General features: G+C 40.9%; 1 protein-coding gene and 1 pseudogene across 40 annotated transcripts in view; both read left to right on the forward strand.

The window, feature by feature from the left end:
- The window catches only part of KALRN (kalirin RhoGEF kinase), a 692,957-nt gene that overhangs the window by 349,658 nt on the left and 318,428 nt on the right, over window positions 1-24,871 (forward strand). For 24 of the 40 annotated variants that reach the window (XM_006713810.4, XM_017007429.2, XM_011513279.3 and 21 more), the window contains 3 exons: window positions 1,819-2,010; window positions 12,109-12,317; window positions 15,671-15,845. In XM_006713810.4, the coding sequence (XP_006713873.1) occupies window positions 1,819-2,010; window positions 12,109-12,317; window positions 15,671-15,845 (576 nt within the window). Of the gene's footprint in view, window positions 1-1,801; window positions 2,011-12,108; window positions 12,318-15,670; window positions 15,846-24,871 lie in introns of those variants that run through there. The other 16 variants (XM_006713812.4, XM_047449159.1, XM_006713813.4 and 13 more) reach the window with 3 other exon arrangements.
- Window positions 24,665-24,757, forward strand: RNU6-143P (RNA, U6 small nuclear 143, pseudogene; annotated as a pseudogene).

Below are 24,871 nucleotides of genomic sequence, written 5' to 3' on the forward strand. Positions count from 1 at the left end.
TGATTTTTCCTCTTTTTCAACCCTGTGTTGGGAGCATTGGGACAATGTAAATGACTTTTTCTCTTTTTCAACCCGGTCTCACCAGCATTGGAACGATGTTTACCTTGGGAAGTTGCTTTTCAAGCAGGATTCCTTATGGATCCCCTGAGGCCTCTCTCCAAATTCCTAGAAGCCAAGACAAGTGTTTGCCTGCCCATCTTCCCCAGGTCCTATGCCAGTACAATCAAGAGGCTGGCTCCACAGCCTCTGAAAGTTTCAACCCTAGCGTCTCAGTTTCCTGGGGCTGTTGTAACAAAGCACCACGAGACTGTGACTTAGATAACAACAATTTGTTTTCTCACAGTTCTGGAAGCTAGACATTTGAGATCAAAGTGTCAGCAGAGCTAGTTCTTTCTGAGGAATATGAGGGAGAAATCTACCCTGTGCCTTTTTCTCAACTTTTAGTAGTTTTCTGGCAGTCTTTAGCATTCTTAGCCTTGTAGATACATCTCCCAGTTTCTTCGTTCATCTTCACATAGCATTGTCCCTGTGTGCATGTCTGTCTCTTCACATGGCATTTTTTTTTAAATAAGGACACCAGTCATATTGGATTAGGGATCTATCCTACTATAGTATGATTTAAACTTAATGTAACTAATTACGTCTACAATTATCCTGTTTCCAAGGAAGGTCACATTCTGAGATACTGGGGATTAGGAGTTCAACATGTGAATTTGAGTGGGGGGCACAGTTCAGTCCATAGCACCCAGGTCTTCAAGTGAGCCCAAAACACTCCTTACAGACACGGAGACCCTGTCTCCATAAGCAAAACAAAGCACCAGAGAGTCATTGCTCATGAATCCATTTCAATTCTCCACTCACTTTGTGTTTGATACTGACTGCTCTGCTTGTTCGCCACTCTAGAGTTTTGTGCCAACTCTAGGGATACTTAGAAATATATGTACACCTGAGTCACCAGCTCTAAGTCAGGACATATCAGGAGACTTTCAAAATGAGAAGCCTGCTGAGGAAAAGCTGTATCTGCGGCAAATAATGTAGTAACTATTCTAAAGGCAGTGGCTCCCATCCTGATGAATAATAATTACAAGTCGGTTGCCTTTTAAAATGCTCTGGAGAATACCATGGTGTGTACAGATAGGGAGTTGGACGACTGTGTGTGCATGTGTGTGCATGCAGTAGCTTATGATAAACAAAATCACCAGACTCTTCCCCAACCTTCCTGCAAACATTCCCTGGGCCCGCAGGGAGTAGCCTGCATCTCCTCCCTCTGGCTGTGGCCGCTGCCTTCTGTCAGCTCCCTAGAGTTGCTGATCCCTTCCCCTCCAAAGAAATAGCTCTGTTCCAAAAAGATAAACACCAGTGGTTACAGGGAACTTGAGGAGAAAAGCAAAGTGAGTCTCCCACTTAGTGTTTTTCTGGTGTTCTCACATGGAAATACAGACCGTCTTTGTGGGTGTGCTATTTCTGATCCTGGCAGTTACAGCCTGAGATGTGAGGGCAGTGATGGGTTTTCTTGAAGGTAGGGGATAGGGAGCAGCTGGGGTATGGAGGTTCTCTACGCTCTCCCCACTTCTTTCCAGGGACACTGCACCTCTGAGAAATCCCAGGGGTGGATGAGGCACCTAGCTGGTGCCCGCCTGCAGGCTGCTCGCTTGCTGAGAGGCGGCGTGCCAGCTCCGCGCACCGCGCCTCAGTGCCAGATCAGGGAGCTGTCAGCTCAGCGCCCACGCCCCTCCGCTTCAGCTCCGGGGAGCCCCAGGGTGGGCTGCTGGAAGGCGCGACTGCAACTTGACTTTGCCTCACTGTTGTTGCTGGCAGAATACGTACACCAATGCGGACAAGCTCCTAGAAGCAGCAGAGCAGTTGGCTCAGACGGGGGAATGTGACCCCGAGGAGATCTACAAGGCAGCTCGACACCTGGAGGTGCGCATCCAAGACTTCGTGCGCAGGGTGGAGCAGCGGAAGCTTCTCCTGGACATGTCTGTTTCCTTCCACACACACACCAAAGAGGTAAGGGGAGCTAGTGGAGAGAGGGCATTCTGTCCTGCCAGGGTCAGGTCGGCTTCCTAGTAAAATGGCCCTGAAGGTCTGACCAGGGTCCTGGGTAGTCTGGGGGTTACTAACTTCCTAACTTTGGTAATATTAACAATTCATTCCTGATAGCCTGCATTTAGGTCTCTCCGAATGGGGCAAAATTTCCTCCTATAATATCTAGTGAGGAAAAGGGGTCATGGAGACAGGTGGTTTTCGGGGCATCTGCTAGAGCATGCAATCTGCAGCTGGAGAAATGTGGGAATCCCTGATATAGCAATAGTCACTGCAAGAAGAAATGTAAGAGGATCACAGACTCTCTTCCCACTACACACCCAATTTCTCTTGGTTGCTGTTTCCTGTCAGAAATGAGAGTCCCACAGAACTTGTAGGACTACCAGCAAGGAACATGTAGAGTTTACAGATGTGTTTTTTCTGTGTTTTTATTTTATTTTTTAACAGGGGATTTAATCTTCTTAATGAGGTCTGTGGCAGGGTGATATTAAAGTTGGTCCTCACTTTGCCTGACTGTGGAGTGACAGGCATTGAAAGAAGGGGGACTGAGATGCCCTCCACCAAGGAAGCTGGCTGGGCTTGAAGCCCAGCCTGAATAATTCACCAAGTGGAGAAAGGAGAAGGAAGGATAGATTATGTTAAGCTGCGGCAAGAGCAGAGGGGCCCCATAGAGAGGAGGATGGTTGCAAACCTATGATTGCTTTTCATTTCTGATTAACATGGGACATGCTGAAATTGAATAAGTGGCCAGTAAGGAGGCACATTTAGCATCATCTCTAATAACAGCCTTGGCAGATGAACTCATTAGGTGTATGCATGCTTGTGTCCCCCCCCAGGAATTCCCTTTAATAGAGTATTAATTAAAGTTTGATTGCTGCTCAGGAAAAAAAAAATAGCCCTACTTAATTAAGTTGAATTTTAATATTGGGAATGCATTAAGAATCTTGGTTGTTACTGCTTCACAGCCTTTTCTGACACTGAGGGAATGAATGCAAACCATTGCAGCGCCTGTCAGAGAAAAACATGAAAAGATAGTGTTCTCTAAACTGAGATTCCCCAGGCAGATGAAGGGCTGGCAAGCTCCCTGAAGCTGGATTTGCTTCCTCTCTGCGGGACCTGCAGCCACTCTCTGATGAGTGTCTATAAAACAAGGGGATTAGCATTAATCCAGGGTTTCCTGCCTGGTTCTCTGCTTGATAGTGGCTCACCCAATTCTTAATGAAAGTCTCAGAAACCAAAGCCATGTGTATTCCCTTTTAATTATGAGCCTGTAGGTGATGGAATGGAGTATGAATGAACAGGAGTCATGTTCCTCATGAGGGCTGCGGTGGTGCTGGCTGCATGGAGAAGTGGTGGACCGGGGTCAGTTTCCATGGAACTACCACTCCCAAAAGAGTGACCATGGCTTCCAGGAATTCCTCTAGCTACATCTCCCACCTGCTATACACAGAGCTAGTAGGCTGGGATTCTAGACCAGATTCTGCTGCTAAAGAACCATATGAGCTTGTGCAAGTCACTATGTCCCTGGCCTTGGGTTTCCTTATCTATAAAATTATGCAGTTGGACTTGGCCCTAAGGCCCCTTATGGTTCTAATGTGAATCCAAGATTTCATTCTTCTTCTCTTCTTCTTTATTTGCTATTGGTAGTGATAATAAATAATAATAATAATTAAGCTGAAGTAGTATAGGTGATTTACCAAGCCTAAGATTTGGTTTATTGTAAGCACTCAAAATATATTACATGAGTTTTTTAAATGGACACCTATTACTTGCCAGACACATATACCATCTCATGTAACCTTCATGATAATCTTATGATATAGATTTTATTAAACACATTTTTAAATGAGGAGACTAAGCCTCAGAAAATAACTTTTCTAAGGTTACAGACTTTCTCAGTAGTACAGCAGATATTTTACCTGTCTTCCTATTACCTACACTCTTGTTTTTTTCCTTTTCTATCTCCTCTCCTCTGTTCTTCCTTCTCCTTACTTTTATTTTTCTTTTTTGCATTTCTAAACCCCAAATCAGGGGCTTAATGGGTAGGACAGATCTTGGCTGAGAAATACACAGTGTTGCCAGGATTGGGTGTGTGGGAGACAGGAATAGTCAGGAAGTTATTGACTATTGTTTTCCCGGATATCTCTCAAATCTTGCTAAGCTTGGTCGTGTTTGAACCTGAGACTTGTTTCCTCACTGGAACTCAGCTATAAAGTCACATTCATGTGAAATACTACTAGAAGGAGTGGTGTGATACAGGGGGCAGGTGAAGAAAGAGAAAGAACTGAAATTTATTTAGCACAAACCATGTGCTAGGCTATCTGGCTATCTAGTTCATAGCCATGATAATTCTCGTTTTTTAAAATTCCAGTTTTACAAATGGGAAAACCAAAGTTCAGAAAAATTAATAATTTGCCCATGGTTTTATAGCTAGGTTGTAGTAAGTACGGAAATTGACCCCAGGTCTTTCTGACTCTAAAGGCCATGCTTTTTTCTCCTTTGCCACAAAGACTTTTATATAAAGGCTAGTAAACAGAGACTTGAATGAATTTTTTTTTTCCATCAGAGAATTCATTCAAACAGGAGGCTATCAGGAAATTGCATAGTCTCTTTCTCCTCAGTCCCAAAATACGAGAGAAATTTAGAGCAGCCCTGCCTGTATACAAAGGGGTTTATGGTTATGAGGCTCATTCTATTCAAGACATCTACAACTCTCTGATCATACAGATTTTATTTTTTTTTTCAGGATGGACAGAAAAGCAACATTTTGAGTGGCTGTCACAGAGGAGCTGTTCCAGGGGACATGCAGTGGGACTTTGTATCTGCATGTTCCCTCTTGGTCACCTTCCCATCCAAACCAGTCTGTATGAGGTCCCCTTTAAGTGATTTGCTAGGCAGGGTAGAAAATAAGGTGTGTGTGTATGTATACATGCACATATATGTATATGTACATGTATATGTGTACACATGCACATATATGTGTACACACACATGCAAATGTTCCCACACACTAAGTACAGCAAGATCTTGGATGCCAGGTAGGTCTGATTTCCAGATCTATTTTCTTATGCTTTGTGCCTTTGGGAGAATTACTCTTAATCTCTGTTGCTTTGTAATAATTATGAGGATGACTATTACAACACTCATTTTTTTTCCTAGTAGGAAACTTCCTCCCAAATTTTTCTTAGTGTTTCTTTAAAGTAGGAAGTTTCTTTAAAGTTTCTTTAATAAATTAGGAACTTAAAGACTCAACTTAGACATCATTTTTTTTTTCTTGAACTTCTTCATGGGTGCTTCCAACTTTCACCCAGACAAGAGCAGAGCACTGTATATACCTCACACTGAGCTGTGATTCTCTCCTTCACTAAATTGGGAGTGCTAATATGTGTAGTACACACGTGGCATTAGATGTGTAGCTAGAGATACTACTGTGTCTGATACACAGAGGTGCTCAATAAGTATTGAATAAATGGGTTTACTTGACAATGGGAAGCTAGTCTCTCCTAAGAAAAGTAAAAGAAAAAGAAGAAGAAAAATGAGGGAAGAGTCCCTTCAATCACATTTTAATCTACTGCAGTTCTTTGACTTGAGCTCTCCAGATATTGTAAATAAGAGAGGCTGGGTGGGGAATCTAACTTGCTGAGGGGAGCTTTCCTTTAGGACCTATATATAGCAGGCAAAAATGGATTATTAGAAGACAGAAATGAGCATCCTTGAATGGTCTCATGGAAGAACTCCTGTGGTTTGGTTTTTCCATACTCTGTTTAATACCTCTCAAGACTCATCACCTCTTAAACATCACTAAGTATGGGTCCTATTTGATCCTGAGTTCATTAACTCTTGACTCCTTCCTCTTGACTCTATAGGCAAAGTTCTGGCTTTTTATTCAAGACAGGATTAGTAGTCTGTTAGGGAATTTTGAGTTGCTGTGGTTGCTTTTCCTTCTTACCGTGAATAGAGTGAATAGAAGGAAAATCTGCTCAACTTTTGCTAAAGTGGCCTTCGGTACTGCTGATAAATACTGTTATAAATCATTTCTGCCTCATTATGGCTATCTTCCTCCTTCTTTCTTTCCTTCCTCCATTTCTTCCTTCCTATAATAATTTGCAGAGTTTTTGCCTTGGTGCCAATTTGTAAAAGAATGTCCTCATAGTCTATAATTTTCAGGGAATGAAAGCCCCTTTTGTAGGAGATTTCTAAGTGGGAAGTGAATATCCACCTTTATAAATGATTTAACCTAGACTTCCTAGGACTCCCCAGGCTAAAGTTCATAATTTTACTTTTGCCAACTTTCCACATCAAAAGATTTACTCTAATGAGTATCAGAGAGGAAACAGGAGGAAGATATAAAAAGATAACCTCCAGGCTCATTTCTTCTACAAATTCAAGTCTGCTTAATCCTATTGGCCTCTTGAATTCTTTATTTATTGTAGGAGCCGAGAGGGTTAAAAATGTCTAACTGTTTCATCACAGTGTTAGTCATAATCTTGAATAATTAGAGACCATCTAAATGTTTCACATTGGGTGATTTCGTTAAACAAATCATAATGCATTTATATAGTAAAATATTACACAGTCATTCTAAATCACATTGCCGAAGATTATTAATGACATGAGGAAGAGCTTGTGGTATAATATATAAAAACTGTATATCCAGTACAACACAATTTCAATAACACATATAGAATAAGGACCAGAAGTAATATTTACCAGAAGTAAATATGCCAAGAATTTAAGATTGATATGGGAGATTTAATTTTTTGGCTTTTTTTTGTTTTGCAAGATTTCTTCAATGATATTTTAAATTCATAATCAGGAACAATCCAATAAATGTTATTTTTCAAAAGCAAAACTATTCATCCCTACTTATAGAGAAAAGCTACTTAAAAAAGAAAGGCAACAAACATGTACTTGGGACTTTCTTATACATCCAGAGCCTCCACTACTAGTACAAATCATGCTGAACTTAAATACATTCTTTTTGCCTGGGGCCAAGAGGGCAGCCAGCTTTGTTTTCTGGTCTGGAGAGCTAGAGCAAGTTTGGGAGAAGCATTGACCCGAGTCCTCATTCTTTTTGTCCAGGAACATGGCATTTGTAGCACCTGCCCTGCAGAAATTGTCATCACAGAATTCTCTTTCCTTGCTGTGTTTCCATGGAAATGCTGTAGTCACTGGGCTTTCAAAATACCCGTTTTTAGATATTTTTGTAGTATAAATATAAGTCAAGTTAAATAAGGAACATGGCCAAAGTAACCAGCCTCTGCTCTTTATTAGACAGCTTAATTAAATACCCACTTATATTTGTTTCACCTTGTGGAATCATTCTGCCACACCATTTCCTACTCAAATAGGTACAAACATACCACAGACACTCCCATATACACATGCTCCTCTATCCGCCAACTCTGGAACCAAAACTAAATTGGTCTTCAAGAGAGATGATGGCTTTAAGAACAAAAATAGCCTTATCCTCTATTTTACTTGCTGTACTGTTGTACTGTTTATTTAAGAAACAAGCTGGTGGTTGATGTCCAGGAAAAATTATCTTTTCAAAATGAGGGAAGAGGAGGTTCACCAGGTGGATATGGTGTGCCTTTCAACATCCTTAAGGATTGTTGATATCATTATTGTTAATCAATTGTTGTCAGCACAGTGGCTGCCCAAGCTGTGCAAATGAAACAGCCAATCAGCAGGAGAAAGTGATGAAATTAAATGACCTCTTTCCTTAACCACTCATCCGTAAGCCTTGTTATTTTTCTTACAAACCTCCTAGGCTCTTCCTCTCTTGTCTCCTTCCTTCCTGTCTTTTTCAGTTGCCGCTTTCTCAGGCTGCCCCATTATGCAAGCAGGAGAGGGTCTGTGGGCTGGCCCTAGCTGAACTCACTGGTTCACTATTAGAGCTAATCTTATGTAGGGCATGGAAAGGCTCCTTTAACTGTTCCCCTATCAAGGTTCTAGAAATTCTCAAATTGGACCCATTCTTTTGGATGTAGATATTTTTGGCCACAACTACATGTGTTTCTGTAAGAAAGAATGCACAAAACCATCTACATGTATATATCAGCATGGAGCAAGCAACCATTGCCAAGAAGTGAGCGGGACTCTAAAAGAAGGGTCATAGTATACATATATTTTGATCAAGAAGAGAGGGTCTGGAAATGGCTGAAACATGGGATTTTTCTTTTCTGGGGAGGGGGTGGGTTGGTGAAGAAGGTACAGTGCTATAATGTTAAACCTTAGATAAGCAGAAAGTAAAGAAGATCACCCAAGGGAGAGAAACCAACGTGGAAGACAGTGGGGGAAAAAACACGCGTGGTTGCTGCTGCCAAGCTACCTCACTCACTCCATGATTTTACCTAATTAGTTCCAGCAGACATTGGCTTGTAGTAGCTTGACAGAAAAGATCGTTCTGGCTGGATGTCACTGACTGCTTAATAATCAGTGAAGTAGTAGCAGAAGTGTCTCTCTAATTTGGACTCTTTTCAAAGCATGTTCTTCAGCGCTAAATCGGAGGGACATACATAGAGGAAACCTTTGGGACATTGAGAGAGATAGAAAAATTACAGCCTAATAAATGGGATATTGACTCTACTCATGGTTTAGTAGCACCAACTTTTATTTCTATCTACCTTATGGTGCTAAATCTCAGAGGTGCTTATTCAAAATTATGAGCTTGCAATTTAAGTTTGCTGCCACCAGGCAGTGACTGTGTGCACCATGTCCACAATTTCACCTCTCTCTCTTTACATCTATTTTTCTTTTAGAACTATCAAGACTTTTTAGTTTCTAGGCTTTCCTCGGTTATCCTGAGACAAAGTGGCAAAAACGGAATAGAGAGGCCCAGCCCAGTCTAGTATCTTGAAGGACCAAATTCAATGTTGATCTTATACAAACTCCAAAATGAAGGACTACTTCAAACTTTCCCTTTGCCCTCTAGTGGGAACTGGAGATGGCTTGCAACAAAAATATCTTTTTTTTCCTTTTTCTTTTTTTTTTGAGACAGAGTCTTGCTCTGTCACCCAGGTGGAGTGCAGTGGCACAATCACAGCTCACTGCAGTCTTGACCTGCTGGGAACAAGCAATCCTCCCGCCTCAGCCTCCTAAGTAGCTGGGGCTACAGGCATGTGCCAACATGCCCAGCTAATTTTTGTGTTTTTTAAAAAAATTTTTTTATAGATGCTGGGTCTTACCATGTTGTCTAAGCTAAAACTATATTTTAAATGTAATAATATGTAGCACTGATAAGTATTGACTATATGTCAGACACTGTTGATAAGTAAGATAGATAATATATTTGTGTATACACACATATATCAACTTATTTGTAATCTTTATCACAACTCTCTGTGAGGAAAGCACTGTTATTATCCCCATTTTACTGATAAAGAAAGCCAAGGTGCAGAGAGAATAAGTAACTTACCCAAGATTATATAGCTAATATGTGGTAGAACTAGGATTTGAAACTTTTTTTTTTTGGAGACAGAGTTTTTTTTGTTTTTTTTTTTAACAATTTATTGTATATTTTCTTTTCTTTCTTTCTTTTTTTTTTTTTGAGACAGTCTCCCTCTATCACCCAGGCTGGAGTGCAGCGGTGCAATCTCGGCTCACTGCAACCTCCGCCTCCTGGGTTCAAGTGATTCTCCTGCCTCAGCCTCCCAAGTAGCTGGAATTACAGGTGTACGGCATCATGCCCAGCTAATTTTTGTATTTTTTTTTATTTTTTTTTTATTATACTTTAAGTTTTAGGGTACATGTGCACATTGTGCAGGTTAGTTACATATGTATACATGTGCCATGCTGGTGCGCTGCACCCACTAACTCGTTATCTAGCATTAGGTATATCTCCCAATGCTATCCCTCCCCCCTCCCCCCACCCCACCACAGTCCCCAGAGTGTGATATTCCCCTTCCGGAGACAGAGTCTTGCTCTGTTCCCCAGGCTGGAGTGCAGTGGCACAATCTCGGCTCACTGCAACCTCTGCCTCCTGGGTTCAAGCAATTCCACTGCCTCAGCTTCCTGAATAGCTGGGGTTACAGGCACCTGCCACCATGCCTGGCTAATTTTTGTATTTTTAGTAGAGATGGGGTTTCGCCATGTTGGCCAGACTGGTCTCGAATTCCTGACCTCAGGTGATCTGCCCACCTTGGCCTCCCAAAGTGTTGGGATTGCAGGTGTGAACCACTGTGCCTGGCCCCTGAAACTCTGCCTCTCTGTACAATATTTTTTCAGAGAATCCATCATCTCTTCCCTAAAGACTTAAATACACTTAGAAAATGTGTTTTCTCTCTAGAAAAAACGACAGCCAGAAAATATGAAGTGACATTAAGCTATCATTATCAATATCCTGTACGTCCTGGTTTTATGCTGATTTGAAATTAGCATATTCACACAGCAACATGTATCCCAGCTTATATGGTCTGGAAAACTTGTTTGGTGTTTTATTTGAAAAGGAAATAAACTGAACTAATTACAACCAGACTTGCAAGCTGATAAATGTGAGGGATGCTGAATAATAATTTGCATTCCCTATAGCAATCAGCATAATGCTGTAGGCTTATTAATACTGCCATAAATTTATCTAAAGCATTAATAATAAGAAAATAGTTCAGTCCTCACAGTCTTTGAAGTGAGCAGGGCAAATCTTATTATTCCTATTTTGTAGATAAGGAAACTAAGGCTCAGGAGGTTACTCACCTGTACAAAAAGGACATTCTTTACACTTTCTTATTCATGGCCTCCAAAGCTTATTAATCTTCCTGTTAATCTCTTCTGCCGCATCTAGGGCTTCTCTATCTAAGGAACAAAGAATAACTTGTCCAAAATCTTGAAGACTATTTTTGTCTCTCTATATTTTTTTAATCTTCCCTTATTGAAAAGGCCATATTGTAATTTACCATACTGAGAACCAACTCGATGAAATAATATTCTTGAGGTAGACATTTACCTATGTTTTTAACAGGGAAGACTTCAAGATGTTAGAATCAGATGGAAACTAACCAATTTATTTTGTGCTTTCCCCAACCTACTTTACACATGATGTCATGGAGATGGAAGGGTATAGTGATTTGTGCAAAGGCACCATGAGTAACGGGAGGAACAGAAGCCAAAATCTGCATCTTCTGACTCCATCTATCAATTTTCTCTCTCTACTGGCTTTTTTCCTGGTAGAGCCCTGAGCTTATCTTTCCTGCTAGTCAGGTGAACACTCCTGGTTTCAAAGCAAACACCAGACTCATCTTCCCCTCTCTCATTTATGAAAATTCTCAAAGTAGTCAAAAGTGAGCTCTCTGGCAGGCCACTGGAGACCTGTATTCAGTATGATGAGGAAAAGCTATCAATAAATGATTTTTCAGTAATTCAGTTTTAACTCCTCATCATTTCCAGTGCTTATTTTGTTCAAAACACTATACTTTGCTCTTTTAAAGTTGTCTGGCCAGTAATACCTAGTTGCATTTTATCATCTTGAATATTATGGGAAAATGTCTCATATATTTATTGAAATTAAGATAAGCCACATCTTTAGCATTCAGCTTTCTAACCAATTTAGCAATTTTAAAAAGAACAAAATAGTATGGAATATGTACAGGTTATGCTCAGTTAATGTGCATTTAGTTCTTATTGACCACCACATTCTTTGTGTATTTGCAATATTATGATACATTTCTAGGAATCAATGTGCACAGAGTACATTACTCCCTTTCCTCCTTTCTGAAAGATGAAATAATATTCGTTCATTCTAGTCTCCTGTTCTTCCTAGTGGTGTCTCAAAGATGACTGATCTCCTTGCTCTAAGATCATACCTGTAGGTTTCCCTGACCACAGGGAAGTTAAGCCAGGGGTGATTCCTGTCTTTAGGGACTGTCAACACCAATGGAGTAAACTTAGCAAAGACTGGTGATGAATATAAATGTAAAAACACAAACTGACCCATAGTTGTGCTGATGAGAATGGCACTGACTGGTTGAGAGTAAGTTGGGTGATTCCAGTCTAGCTTCCTTGCCCTCACCCCAGCCCTGGCCTCTCCCATCTTCCCTGAGTGGAATCTCTGCTCTCTCTCTACAGTTGTGGACATGGATGGAAGACCTTCAGAAGGAGATGTTGGAGGATGTCTGTGCAGATTCTGTGGATGCAGTCCAGGAACTGATCAAGCAGTTCCAGCAGCAGCAGACCGCCACTCTAGATGCCACACTCAATGTCATCAAGGAAGGCGAAGACCTTATCCAGCAGCTCAGGTCAGCGCCTCCCTCCCTCGGGGAGCCCAGCGAGGCCAGGTCAGCATGGGCAGAGCTTTCCAGTGGGAAATGCCTCGGGCTAGACGTGAGATAAGTCCTGTCCCAGTCTTGACTCAGCAAAATCTTGCTTTGTGGTCTTGTGTGAGCTTCGGTTTCTTTATCTGTAAGATGTAAAAATGCCTGCACCATACTCAACTTGAATCTAGAATAAAATAGTAAATGGAAAAGCTTTAATGTTTCAAAGAATTATTTATCATTCAGGATGTTATTCAGCCATCAGTAAGTAACATAAATACAACAAAAATTAACAAAAGACAAAAAAAACAAAAGTAAAAAATAATTAAGAATTAGGGCATATTTGCTCATGCAGAGAAATAGACATTATGGAACATAGTGTTATTTAACATCTGGTCTTAGGCTGAACTCTGACCTCCAGTGCCCCAGTCAGCAAAATCAGATCATTTTGCTGATGTTTGACTTTGGACCCATGAAGACATAAAAAAAGTGTGGTGGTGTCCTACCAGTTCCCTGTTACCCAATTATGACCTTTTACCATTCCTTGCTGCCCAGAAAATAAAACTCCTTCTGCATCAACCTAAACAAACATAACTAAGGAGACAAATCCTGTCTAAAATTTTTCATTTGTTTAGAATTACCCAGGCCATTGCCTCCTTTCTATTGGCATCAATATCTAGTTCTCTGCCCCTGTCAAGGACACTGGCTCCTTAGATAAAGTGTCATGAGGCCTTAAGCAAGCCCTCAGCAACCAACCCCATGCCTAGGTGCTGTATAAATAGGATTTGATTGTGCTAATGATGCTTGCCCACAGGGACTTTTTCCTATCCCAAAATCACTGAGTGCTGGGACCTCTGCCAGCTCTGGACAGAAATAATCTCATCAGCAAGTCCCAGGCTATCCCTAGGGCCTGAGGGAATTACGTCAATTGGAGAGGGTTTTTTTCACCCATACCAGTTGTCCAATTAAATAAACAATGAGAAATTACCTTTAGAAGGCCCTGGCATGTTTTTCTGTTGGAAATTAATAATTTCTATTCCAAATATGCACATGAGATGCTCCAAATCCTCCTATTGCATGCTAACAAGACAGCCTCTTTTCCTTCTTCCCCTAATTATCTTCATGAATATATAATACATGACAGCTTTGTGTGCCTCCCTAGGAAACTCCACTGTCATTTGCTTCCGAAGAGAATTCCTAATAGTGGACAGTCATTTAACCTCTCTGGGCCTCAGCTGCTTCGTCTGTGTAATTAAGGGGTTCACTCTAGGAGCTCTGGCAGCTCTAGAATTTTGTGATGGCTTTGTGTTATCTATTCAAAAACTTTTCACAGGCTTGGCTGGCTTCACTTTCTGTGGGGCTAGGCCTACGGAGATGCCACTTGTTCTTAACAACTGTAAACCTGCACAATGCCTAAGGGCATAAGGCTACTTGATGATGGCAAAGGCAACAATGTGGGTGATGCCTGCTCTGCAAGATTAAATTCCATGGGTTTCAGAGAGTACCGTAGGCATATGACCAAGAGCCACTGGCGACCATTCATTATGCCAGTAACCTGACTCTAGCCTAGGCTCCCCTCCCTGACATCAAGGCATGTCAAAGAGAAAAAGAAGTAAATGGTGCTTAGTGGACATTGACAGGATGCCTCACACACACCAGAAACATCTTCCCTATGTCTTCCTGATCTTTCTGACACTTGTTACTAGAGCACCTAAGGGAGCTTTTGCATCATCTCTGTGATTCCTAGTGAGTGTGACACTGACATAGTGCTGCATAAAATGGTCCAAAATCTTTCCTTTCCTTCTGGAAAATTTGTGATGGAGAAAGACTGAGAGGAGAAGTCCAAGAGAATAATCACATCCTCCCAGCAGCAAAGCCCTCAACAAATACATAACAGATAGCACTGAGTACATCTCATGTTATTTTCATGCCTGGGGATGTCCGTGCAGTTGTGGGAGTAGAAATTGTGCCTGTATCACAACAAACAGGCCAGGGTGAGGAGGCAGGAATAGGGAGCCCTGTGACCGGTAGACGGAAGGGTGCTTGACAAATTAGCCTTACGCCATCCTCAGAAACAGAATGAACTCAAATACCATTGCTTCTGAGACAAACACAGGCTAAAAGAACATGGCTTTCAGAAAGCCTGCTGATGAGATGATTGGAAGTAAATGATTTTCCCCTTGTCCTTTGACTCCTTAAATTGTATGAGAAGCTAAGATGTCACAAGATAATGAATGTGCCAGTTTATTTCAAGTTTTAGGGCTCTAGCTTACTCAAGGCCCTATGGAATCTAAACTTCTTAGCCACCATCATTTTCCCATTATAGTTATCACCACCTCATTTTGCTAAGCAAATCAATCTGTTTATCTCTCGGCTTCCCTCTATAAGGCATCACCTCTCCCTACTACGTTTGTATAGACTCTGCCTGCTCAGAGGAGGCTGCACCCCCTCCTATTACTTGACTGTGTTTCTCCATTTCTTCAAACCCCCAAATCAAAACTGTTTGCAGCCTTTGTTGGTTGTCCCAGCTTCTTAGGATCTAGCCTTTACTCTCCTGATCAGCACTTGACACTTCACTTGTGTCCTTTCAGGATTAATAATTATCCATACATGTTACTGGTCTTAGTTCATGTGCACTCTTATTTAACAGCAAACTGTGAAGTGAGCAGGGCAGAAATTATTAAGTCCACTTGACAGATAAGGCAGCTGAGGCTCAGAGAGGTGATTTCCCAGGGCCACCAGCCTAAATGTATCAGAGCAGAGACCTAATTCAGGTTTGCAGGCTCCAGATCCTATGCTTTCCTAAGTATAGCCTGAGCCTGTTTAGTATAATAACACCAGCCCATAACTTTAGCATAGCTTTATAAAGAGCATACTTACAATTTTGGCAACCATGACATCATCTGTTTTAACAAAGAGTCTGTGAAGTAAAACTAGGAAGATTTTTTTTAAAATATGCCTTTAGTATGTTTGTCTGTACGTATTGTGATAGATTTATGTGTGTGTGTGTTGGAACTATACATATTAGACTACATATATGTGTGGAACCATTCCATTTCTCTAATATTTTATGCCTTGTAGAGTCCTTTCTCATGCATTATTTCATCTTATTTCTTTCACAATCCTGCTTGAGGAGTAGGAGAACAACTAGTCTTGGAAATAGACTTGTGAACCCAAAAAAGGATGCATGTAGCTTTGGTTCACTCATTAAGCAGAGAGCATCAGGCTCACAGCAGGAGTTTGATAAATGTCTGTTGATTGAATGACTCAACTGATTCACATCCACCTTGCTCAGATGAGGAAGATCCCCCTCCTCCTCTGTCACTTTTAACATGGAAAGGCCTCTCCCTCCCTTTTTTCTCCCCACTCTGCCACAGGGACTCGGCTGTGTCCAACAACAAAACACCCCACAGCAGCTCCATCAGCCACATCGAGTCGGTCCTGCAGCAGCTTGATGATGCCCAGGTGCAGATGGAGGAGCTGTTCCACGAGCGGAAGATCAAGCTGGACATCTTCCTGCAACTGCGCATCTTTGAGCAGTACACCATCGAGGTAGCAGGGGGCCAGGAGGGGAGGTGGAGAGGGGCCAAGAAGTGCTTCCTGGCCAAGGGCACTGCCCCAGGGGCAGGGCAGTAGCCTAAGGAAATTAGAGCATCCAGCATGCATTTTTAGAACCCAAGAAATTCCCAGTCCACCATGGCATATTCCTTCCAGTCCCTCTCATCCCCTACTGCCGAGCAGAGCCCCTCTATTTTACTTTCTGTCTGTAGATTACTTTCTTGAGAAGTTTTTTTTGTTTGTTTTTGTTCGTTTTGTTTTGTTTTGTTTTGTTCTGTTGAGAAGGAGTCTCGCTCTGTTGCCCAGGCTGAAGTGCATTGGCGCGATCTGGGCTCACTGCAAGCTCCACCTCTCGGGTTCAAGCGATTCTTCTGCCTCAGCCTCCCGAATAGCTGGGATTACAGGCATGCGCCACCACACCTGGCTAATTTTGTATTTTTAGTAGAGATAGGGTTTCACCACGTTGGTCAGGCTGGTCTCGAACTCCTGACCTCAGGTGATCCGCCTGCCTCAGCCTTCCAAAGTGCTGGGATTACAGGCATGAGCCACTGTGCCTAGCCAAGAAGTTTTTTATTGCTATCCGTTAGACTCTTACTTGGCATTTTCCTGAAATACCATCCATGGAGCTGGTAGTTTGCTGATTGGAGTAGAGTCATTGAATTTCACAGCTTTATGAATGGATAGATGTTAAAATTAGGTGGCCTCCTTAGAGCTGATAATATAAATCATGCGTTAGATTCAATCACACAGCAGTTAAGAAGCCAAGCGCCACAGGAAGGGGAACCTGTATCCGCAGTTTGATTTCTACCTATTAAGAAAGTAAGCCTGTGCTAAGACCATTTGTTAGTTCATCTCATAAACTCCTCAGTTTATTTTTGGAAGGTTGGAATCACATATTCTGGTAAATTTATGTCCCCTTTCTCATACCAATTAGTAATGTCTTCCTTCACATAATTTCCCCCTTTTAATATTTTCTGCTTTGAAACCATAACTAAAGCCAGGCCAATAGGGTTTCTGTGGTATAAGGAATATCCAACATAAGGCACTTTTTCCTTTTCAGGGATAGCAAAGGGTTAAATTAAAGGCATGTCTTCTGTTTGCTCCTGGCTGGTATGGTAGGGGGAAAAGCCAACTTTCCACCCACCATTTCTTAACTTTGTTTTCCATTCCAACCATCTCTCTGGAGTTAGGGCTTCTGGGTTTGGTGAGCTTCCCAATAATATCTGCGGAAACTTCAATGGAACAGCTTTAGAAGGAATTTTTTTTTTAATATATCGAAAGCTCCAATATCCCATCCTAATCCAACTCAGTACAAGAGACTATCTTGGGAACAGCTACCCTTTGCTTTAATCCTAGGTCCAAAAATGTTCATATTGAGAATCTGAAATGTAAAAGAAAAGCAATCATAAAGGTACTCATCTTTCTATCCCCTACTCTCTTACAAGCACATCTGTACTCCTGCCTCCTTGGGAGAACTTGTAATTTCTTGCTTAAAGACTTCATGTTCTAAAAGGTGCTTTCTGGACAGGTCCTGGAACAAAGGAGAAGTTAAGCCTTTAAATCTAGACCTTAACTATCCTTCCAACTGATTTCATAACCTTAGGAGAATTTATTTATATTTATTATTTATTTTGAATGTACTGTCAGGATTTCAGGTGGCAAGTAGTATCAACACACATTTTGAAAAACAATAAAAATGCCAGTGGGAAAATAAAAATATTGACATGTAGTGAAGAGTGTATGTAGTGAACATTGTAAAGGCAGGGTAACAAGGTAATAAAGAGATAAAAGAGAGGGTATGGGTCATTATTCTTTAGTAATATGGATTGAGATGTACAAAAATAAATACAGGCTAAGTTGATTAAAGTAGCCCAAGGCATTCCTGCAATCATTCCTCAGCTCCATTTTGCCCACTGGGAGAGAATATATCCATGGAGAAATTATGTTAGCAGGTGTGGTGGTTTTGCTGTTGTACTTCTTATTTACTCTCCTGTCATTCCAGGTCTGCTTCAAAACATGCTTAAGGGGGAGGAAACAATCTGAGGGTTTGGATTAAGTTTTATTTGAAAAGATAGCTGTGACCTGGAAGTCAGGGTTGCTGGTTCAGCGCTGGAATGGGTCAGTTAGCTTCACTTTGACATCGACTACACCCCTCACATCAGCTGGGGGCATCGCAAGTGTGTCTTTACTAGCATCGATTGTAGGCAAATCAAGTTCCACTCCTAAAAAACAATCCAAAGCATATGGAGAAAATATCCTTTAAAAAATGTGGGTTTAAATCACATGCATTAAAATTGGATCTGGCTTAAAGGTTACGAGAGAGGAACTTGACACTTAAATTATGGAGCCAAGGGTGGTGGCTCACGCCTATAATCCCAGCACTTTGGGAGGCTGAGGCTGGCAGATCACTTGAACTCAGGAGCTCAAGACCAGCCTGGGCAACGTGGTGAAACTCCATCTCCACCAAAAATATAAACAAAAACCGAGTGTGGTGGTGAGCACCCATGGTCCCAGCTACTCAGGAGGCTAAGATGGTAGGATCACTTGAGCCCAGGAGGCGGAGGTTGCAGTGAGCTGTGATCACACCACTGCACTCCAGCCTAGATGACAGAGTGAGACCCTGTCTCAGAAAAAAATAAAAAATAAACAAATAAATTATTGGATTTGCATTCTTTAGCCTTTGTATGTATAAAAATTCCTCGTCCCACCCTAAGTACTGGACAACCTGGTATGCAGGAGAGCAAGAGTGTGAGGGCCTCATAAAATGAGGGAGAGAAAAATCATGATAGGATCCTGCATCCTCTGGTGTAGGCTATAACGTCCGGATTTTACAAGGGGTCTTATTCCCTTGTCTTGTGGGGGAGGCCCAAAAGCTTGGGGAGAATGCTACATCTAATCTTAGAACTGGAAATCCTGCCAAACCTATAGAAAAGTTCTGCTTCAAGTCAGATTGTCAGAAGTTATTTTTGAGGGTGTTGAGATTATTCAAATACCAGCTATGTCTCACTGTGGGGATGAAGAACAAACTTTTAGAGAAGCTTCTGGTGTGAAACTGAGGGTGGTTTCTGTAACGAGAGGCGTGTTTATGCTGACATAAGCCAGGGCAGGGTCTGTGATTACAGGACCTACAGTGTGGTTTCCTTCCTAAAGGAAGGCATTTGATAGACATGCTCCAAATTCCTCAGGATTACTGAACACTGGAGGAGGACTGCTACCCTGCATCTGAGGAATCTAAACATGACTCCTTAGCCATATCACTGAGGGCCCAGATGAGCCAGTTAATGTAATCATTAGGATAGCACATGAGCTGCTGCACCAATCTCTTTGTACTCAATAATAATGGTACTCACATTATAACCTGGAATGAGATCATAGGGCATGCCCACATAAAGTGAAACATCCTAAATTTGTTAGTCAGATGTTCAAAACCAGGCCCATAGCTGGATTCCTGGTATACCTTCTTGGACTCCATGGAGACCAAAGTGACCTATAGTGGAACATGATGTTCTATAACGTTTTTTTCCTTTAGGTTCAGCCTCCTTCTATGAAAGACATTTTATATAAACTAGTTATGATAGAAGAGACATTTCACCAAATACAAATGTTTATTTTGTGATGGTAAGAATACAGGTGATTTTTTTTCTTATTTTTGATGCTTTCTTGCATTTCCAAGTTTTATACAATTAGGATAATCAGAAAGAAATGAAAAATATTTTTAGAAGCAAGAATAGGCCAGTGGTCTCCAAACATTTTTGATTGTGTGCCTTCTCAATTTTTTTGAACTTGCAACCCCCTACATATAAATATTTATTCATTTTTAAGTTATAAAAACGTTCGGTCACTGCCTAATAATTTCAAAATTCAACATGCTCTTTGGGAGAGGTTTAGTTTTTTCATTAGAAATTGTGGGTTCCATATTTCAAATAGTCTTCTGATAATTTCCAATTATTTTTTGCCTGGTTTCTTGAGAGATCAGATTAGATTGTCATTGTTGCCTTACCCCATAATGTGGCTGACAGAGAATTCAAAGTTCTCTTGTGCTTTCATGATTGGTATTATCTTCAAACTGCAGTTTCTTTGCAGGAAACTCGTTAAACCACGTGTCTTTTTGTGAAGGTTAGTTTAGTTAAAACTAGATAGTAGATAAATCTATTTAACTGGACACATGAAAAAAAGCAATAATTTGAAATGTGCTGAAAGCAATGAACAAATGAGCCACAGTCAGCCACTGAGTTGTGACACTCCTACCTTCCCCCCTTCCCCGAGGAGCTCTCTTTTTCGTGCACTACACAAAGCCATCTGCCATGTGGTCAGAGTGAGACTCCAGCACCAGTCTACTAATGAAAATCCTGGGAAATTTTATATACTTTGTATTGGCTTGATAAAATATATGTGCACAATATAATATATATACACATATATGCATATTTATATCAAGATAGTTTTTCTACCATCATTGGATAATTTGGGGCATTTTCTGAGATGGGCATACTTATGTTGGAAAGCCTTAGAAATGACACTAAGAAGGATATTCTAGACAAGGGACTTTCTGAAAATATGGGCCACCTTTATGGTTTTTCTTTTAAATCTCTAACTGTGTAATTGCAAGCGAGGTATGCTTAATGCACCTGAAAGTTTATTTGAGTAGGGAATGATATATCAATTCTAAATCTATGGGGTTCATGTAAAACAAATAGGGGCCAGGCTAAGGCTGGGGAGAAATGGCATTCAAGGAAGAAACTTCTGCCTAGAGAAGATAAGCTGATTATAACTTACTGGTGGTCTCAACTCTTCAATTAGTTGCACACAGAGGCCCTTAGCATTTTATATTAGAAAGAGACCATTCGGTCAGCCTTTTACCTATATAGAAATTCAACTCAGTAAACATTTGGTGAGCACCTCCTTATGTAGCAAAAACTATGTTGGACATTGAGGACATAACAGGGAGACACAGAAACAGAGAATCATCATACAATTTAAGAATTCTATGATAGAGGCTCCTAGTTTGCAGAGAACACTGGAAGAGGCAGATGCTTAGCCCAGTCAGGATGTTCATAGAGGGTTTCCCAATGAGGTTACACCTGAGGGCAGGCAAAAGTTGGTGGCTAGGATTTGGCATCCTTGGATGATGCCATCCAGCCTCTACCAGAATATCTCCAGAGCCCAGAAAGGGGCTTAGCAGGGAAGGGAGAAGAAAGGAGGGAGCTCATCATCTCACTATTGTGTTGAACCAAAATCTCCACCTTTTACACTTGGGTCTTTGTTCTGCTCTCTGGAAAAAAAAAAAAAAAAGAGAGAACTAGTCTGCTCCCTCTTATTTGGGAGCCTTAAAAATAATTGAAAATGTTTATCATAGGCCTCTTTTCCTTTATCTGAAAAATGGTGAGCTTGTATGAGTTATTTCTGCAGTCCCGGTGACTCTAAAAATGTTATAATGATTTCTCCTTAGTGTCAGCCCTCTATGGTATATATCCTCTATTTTATTCACCTCTTTCTGGATAGGACATGGTCTCTAGTCACTGACTGTCTTGGTCACTGTCTGCTGAATGGAGCCTGGCTCACATATAGGCTTGGATGTGTCCTCTTCAGAGTACTGGCTCTGGTGCAGCCCAGGAGATAGGTACCTTTTTAATGACTTCATCACCTGTCTTGTCTAGTCTTTGCTTGCTTAAAAGCTCCTGGTTGTCATTTGAAAGTATGGGCTTCCAGTACACTGACTTAAAAAAAAAAAACTTCAATGTCAGCTTTTATATTTTGTCACTCAAATTTAGTCTTTTTCTTTTTTTTTTTTTTGCACAGTTCTTCTGCCTGTGAAAATAGATATAAATTTAATTTATTATTACTATCAATGTTGTGGCTGTTTGAAAAGTTGGGCAGGTAAGACAGGGCTGTCTGGTGCATCACTACAGGTTCTTATCTGGGGGACACAGAGCCATTAGTCTGCACAGTCACTGTTAGCTGTGGATCATCTAAGAGCCCATCATCGAGTCCAATTTCGCCACTTTTTCTTCCATAAAAACCATTCGAGACTGCAAGGCCTTGCTGTTCTCCACGTTTGTAACATGCCAAATCCACCAACATTGCAACTGTATCAAGAAAGAAGCTAAGATCTATTTGAGGTCATCTTTGTGCACTCTTCCTAGTGATCACTGTCACATTTTCTAAGTACCCCCAGAACCTTTGGAAAGAACATGTAGAATGAATACAATGAAGTAAACCTAATCCTCACAAAATATTTATTTCATAGTCTCTTCTAGACTTTTTGACAAATTAATTTCAGGATCACTGGGAGGTTTTCCCTACTATCGTCCTTTTTTAAAAAAATCAGGATTTTTCACACAGCTTTAGTATTCTGGCAGGTCACCTGTTTTCAGTAGAACTGTCAAAAATCCCTGATGGAAATGTTCAGATCACTCTGTAATGGGGTGGGTCTGGGGCTGTGGACCTGAACTCAAGTAAAATTATCAAGGTTCAAATGCTATATGCTCCTCCTTTCTGGTAAGGATGCAGTAGAAGGTGTTCAGCTTACACAGGGGGAGAAAACATTCTGACACTCAAGCATAACTAGGTTCTAGAATGAGTGAGCAATATACGTTATAGGAGCTCTTCAACAAAAGAGAGATCTTTTAAAAGGAGAATAGAGTTCCACAAATCTCAAAATGATAAAAGGCAAAGGTATGGACACAAGTATAAAAAGGAATGACCAAGATCCCTCCCAACCCTGTTAATTGACAGTTGTGATTATATCAAGGACCTCAGGGTTTTTTTTTTTTTTTTTTTTTTTTTGACGGAGTCTCGCTCTGTCAGCCAGGCTGGAGTGCAATGACACAATCTTGGCTCACTGCAAGCTCCACCTCCTGGGTTCACGCCATTCTCCTGCCTCAGCCTCCTGAGTAGCTGGGACTACAGGTGCCCACCACCACACCCGGCTAATTTTTTTGTATTTTTAGTAGAGATGAGGTTTCACTGTGTTAGCCAGGATGGCCTCGATCTCCTGACCTCGTGATCCGCCCGCCTCGGCCTCCCAAAGTACTGGGATTACAGGCGTGAGCCACCACACCTGGCCAAGGATCTCAGTTTTAATCATGATGATAGAGAAGAAAAGAACATAAAATTGGCCATAAAAATAATCCAATTATCCAAATTATTCAATTGGTATAGAAATTAAGTAATTGAACATTGGAACTCATCAATTACAGCATTTTTGCAATATGTTCTCACATTATTTTGCCAAAAATTAAAAACTGACTGGATTTCATTATTTCCAAGTCCCTTTGCTTTTCTGGAAATTTCTTACAATATTCCCAAAGGTCTTTAGCTATTTAAACAAATATTTTAACTCTTCAGAGAGATTATACATATTACTAAAACAGGGAAATGCTATGATAACTTTAAAATAATCTGCTTTAGAAGTCACTAATCTTATCATTGTAAGAATTGATTAGCAGAGAGGAACTCAACATTATATTGGACAAGAAGAGTAAATGACCATGGTACTTTAGCTATTTTATTCATCGTGGTAACCTATATCAAAAATTATAGATAAAATAGATCTTCCCATGCAATGAGGTGGTTTCTTCAGCTGCAATATGTCTTTCCCTATCAGCCAGCATTTGTAGGGCAGTGGAGAATATTTGTCTTCCACTTTCCTCATCTTCACAAAAATAATGATGTCATAAAACAGAAAGATGCCATTTTGCAATTGATAACCCAGGTATGTCAATGGCATCCCATCACAGTGAAATGCCATGGACCCTTTCTTCCTACTGGTAATTGGAATGAGATTGAATCTTAACATATGCAACATATGTAGTGTTGATTAATGTATATAATCACCTTTGCTGAGAGACAGTAATGCCGTGATCAAGTGTGTAGTATTTTGAGTTAGACTGCCTGGGTTTGAAACCTGTTTTACTAACTTTACTAATTGTGTGGCCTTAAGCAAGTTGCTTTGCTTTTTTTTTTTTTTTTTGAGACAGGGTCTCACTCTGTCACCCAAGCTGGAGTGCAGTGGCATGATCTCGGCTCACTGCTATCTCCGCCTCCTGGGTTCCAGTGATTCTCCTGGGTTCAAGCCTCCAGAGTAGCTGGGATTACAGGTATGCGCCACCACGCCCAGCTAATTTTTGTATTTTTAGTAGAGATGGGGTTTCACCATGCTTGCCAGGCTGGTCTCAAACTCCTGACCTCAGGTGATCCACCTGCGAAAGTGTTGGGATTACAGGCGTGAGTCACTGCACCCAGCCAGGCAAATTGCCCTTGAAGCCTTGGTTTCCTCATTTGAGAAATGGAAACGAAATAATATTTCCCAGCCTATTGGGTTACTGTGAGGATTTAATAAGTTAACACATAATATGTTTAGCAAAGCTCCTGACAGTTAATCAGCACTTAATACATAGTAGTCAGCATTGTTATTATTATTCATAATATGTTTTCTTTTATATATATATATATATTTGCTTCCAGGTTTTAAGCAGTTAAACATCCCTTCTTATTCTTTCTCATTGTTTCTCTTCTGATTTGTTACTGAGTCATATTAGGAGATCCCTGAATGTTTATGCAGAGAACCTGCTGTGGGAGCCAAAGTCATTTGCTCTTGCCTTACAGAGACCCTGCCTGTGTTGGGAACAGATCATATTTCTATCTGCTGCAATTTAAGTCTCAATACCAAATTGCAGATGTGTTTCCTATTCATGACAAAGGCATCTGGATAACCAGATAATTCTATATAGGTTAATATTACCTTTATACTGAGCAATCTGGCAGAGTCGGTTTAAAAAAAATTACTAAACTCTTTAAAAATGTACTATACTGTGCTCACTTCATCAGCACATACACTAAACTGAAACGATACAGAGATTAGCATGGGCCCTGACGCACAAATACGTGAAGCATTCCATAAATTTTTTTTTTATTTTTTATTTTGAGACGGAATCTCGCTCTGTTGCCCAGGCTGGAGTGCAGTGGCACGATCTCGGCTCACCACCTAGGTTCACGCCATTCTCCTGCCTCAGCCTCCC

The sequence above is a fragment of the Homo sapiens genome, chromosome 3, assembly GCF_000001405.40.
Source record: "Homo sapiens chromosome 3, GRCh38.p14 Primary Assembly".
In the NCBI taxonomy this organism is placed as follows: Eukaryota; Metazoa; Chordata; class Mammalia; order Primates; family Hominidae; genus Homo; species Homo sapiens.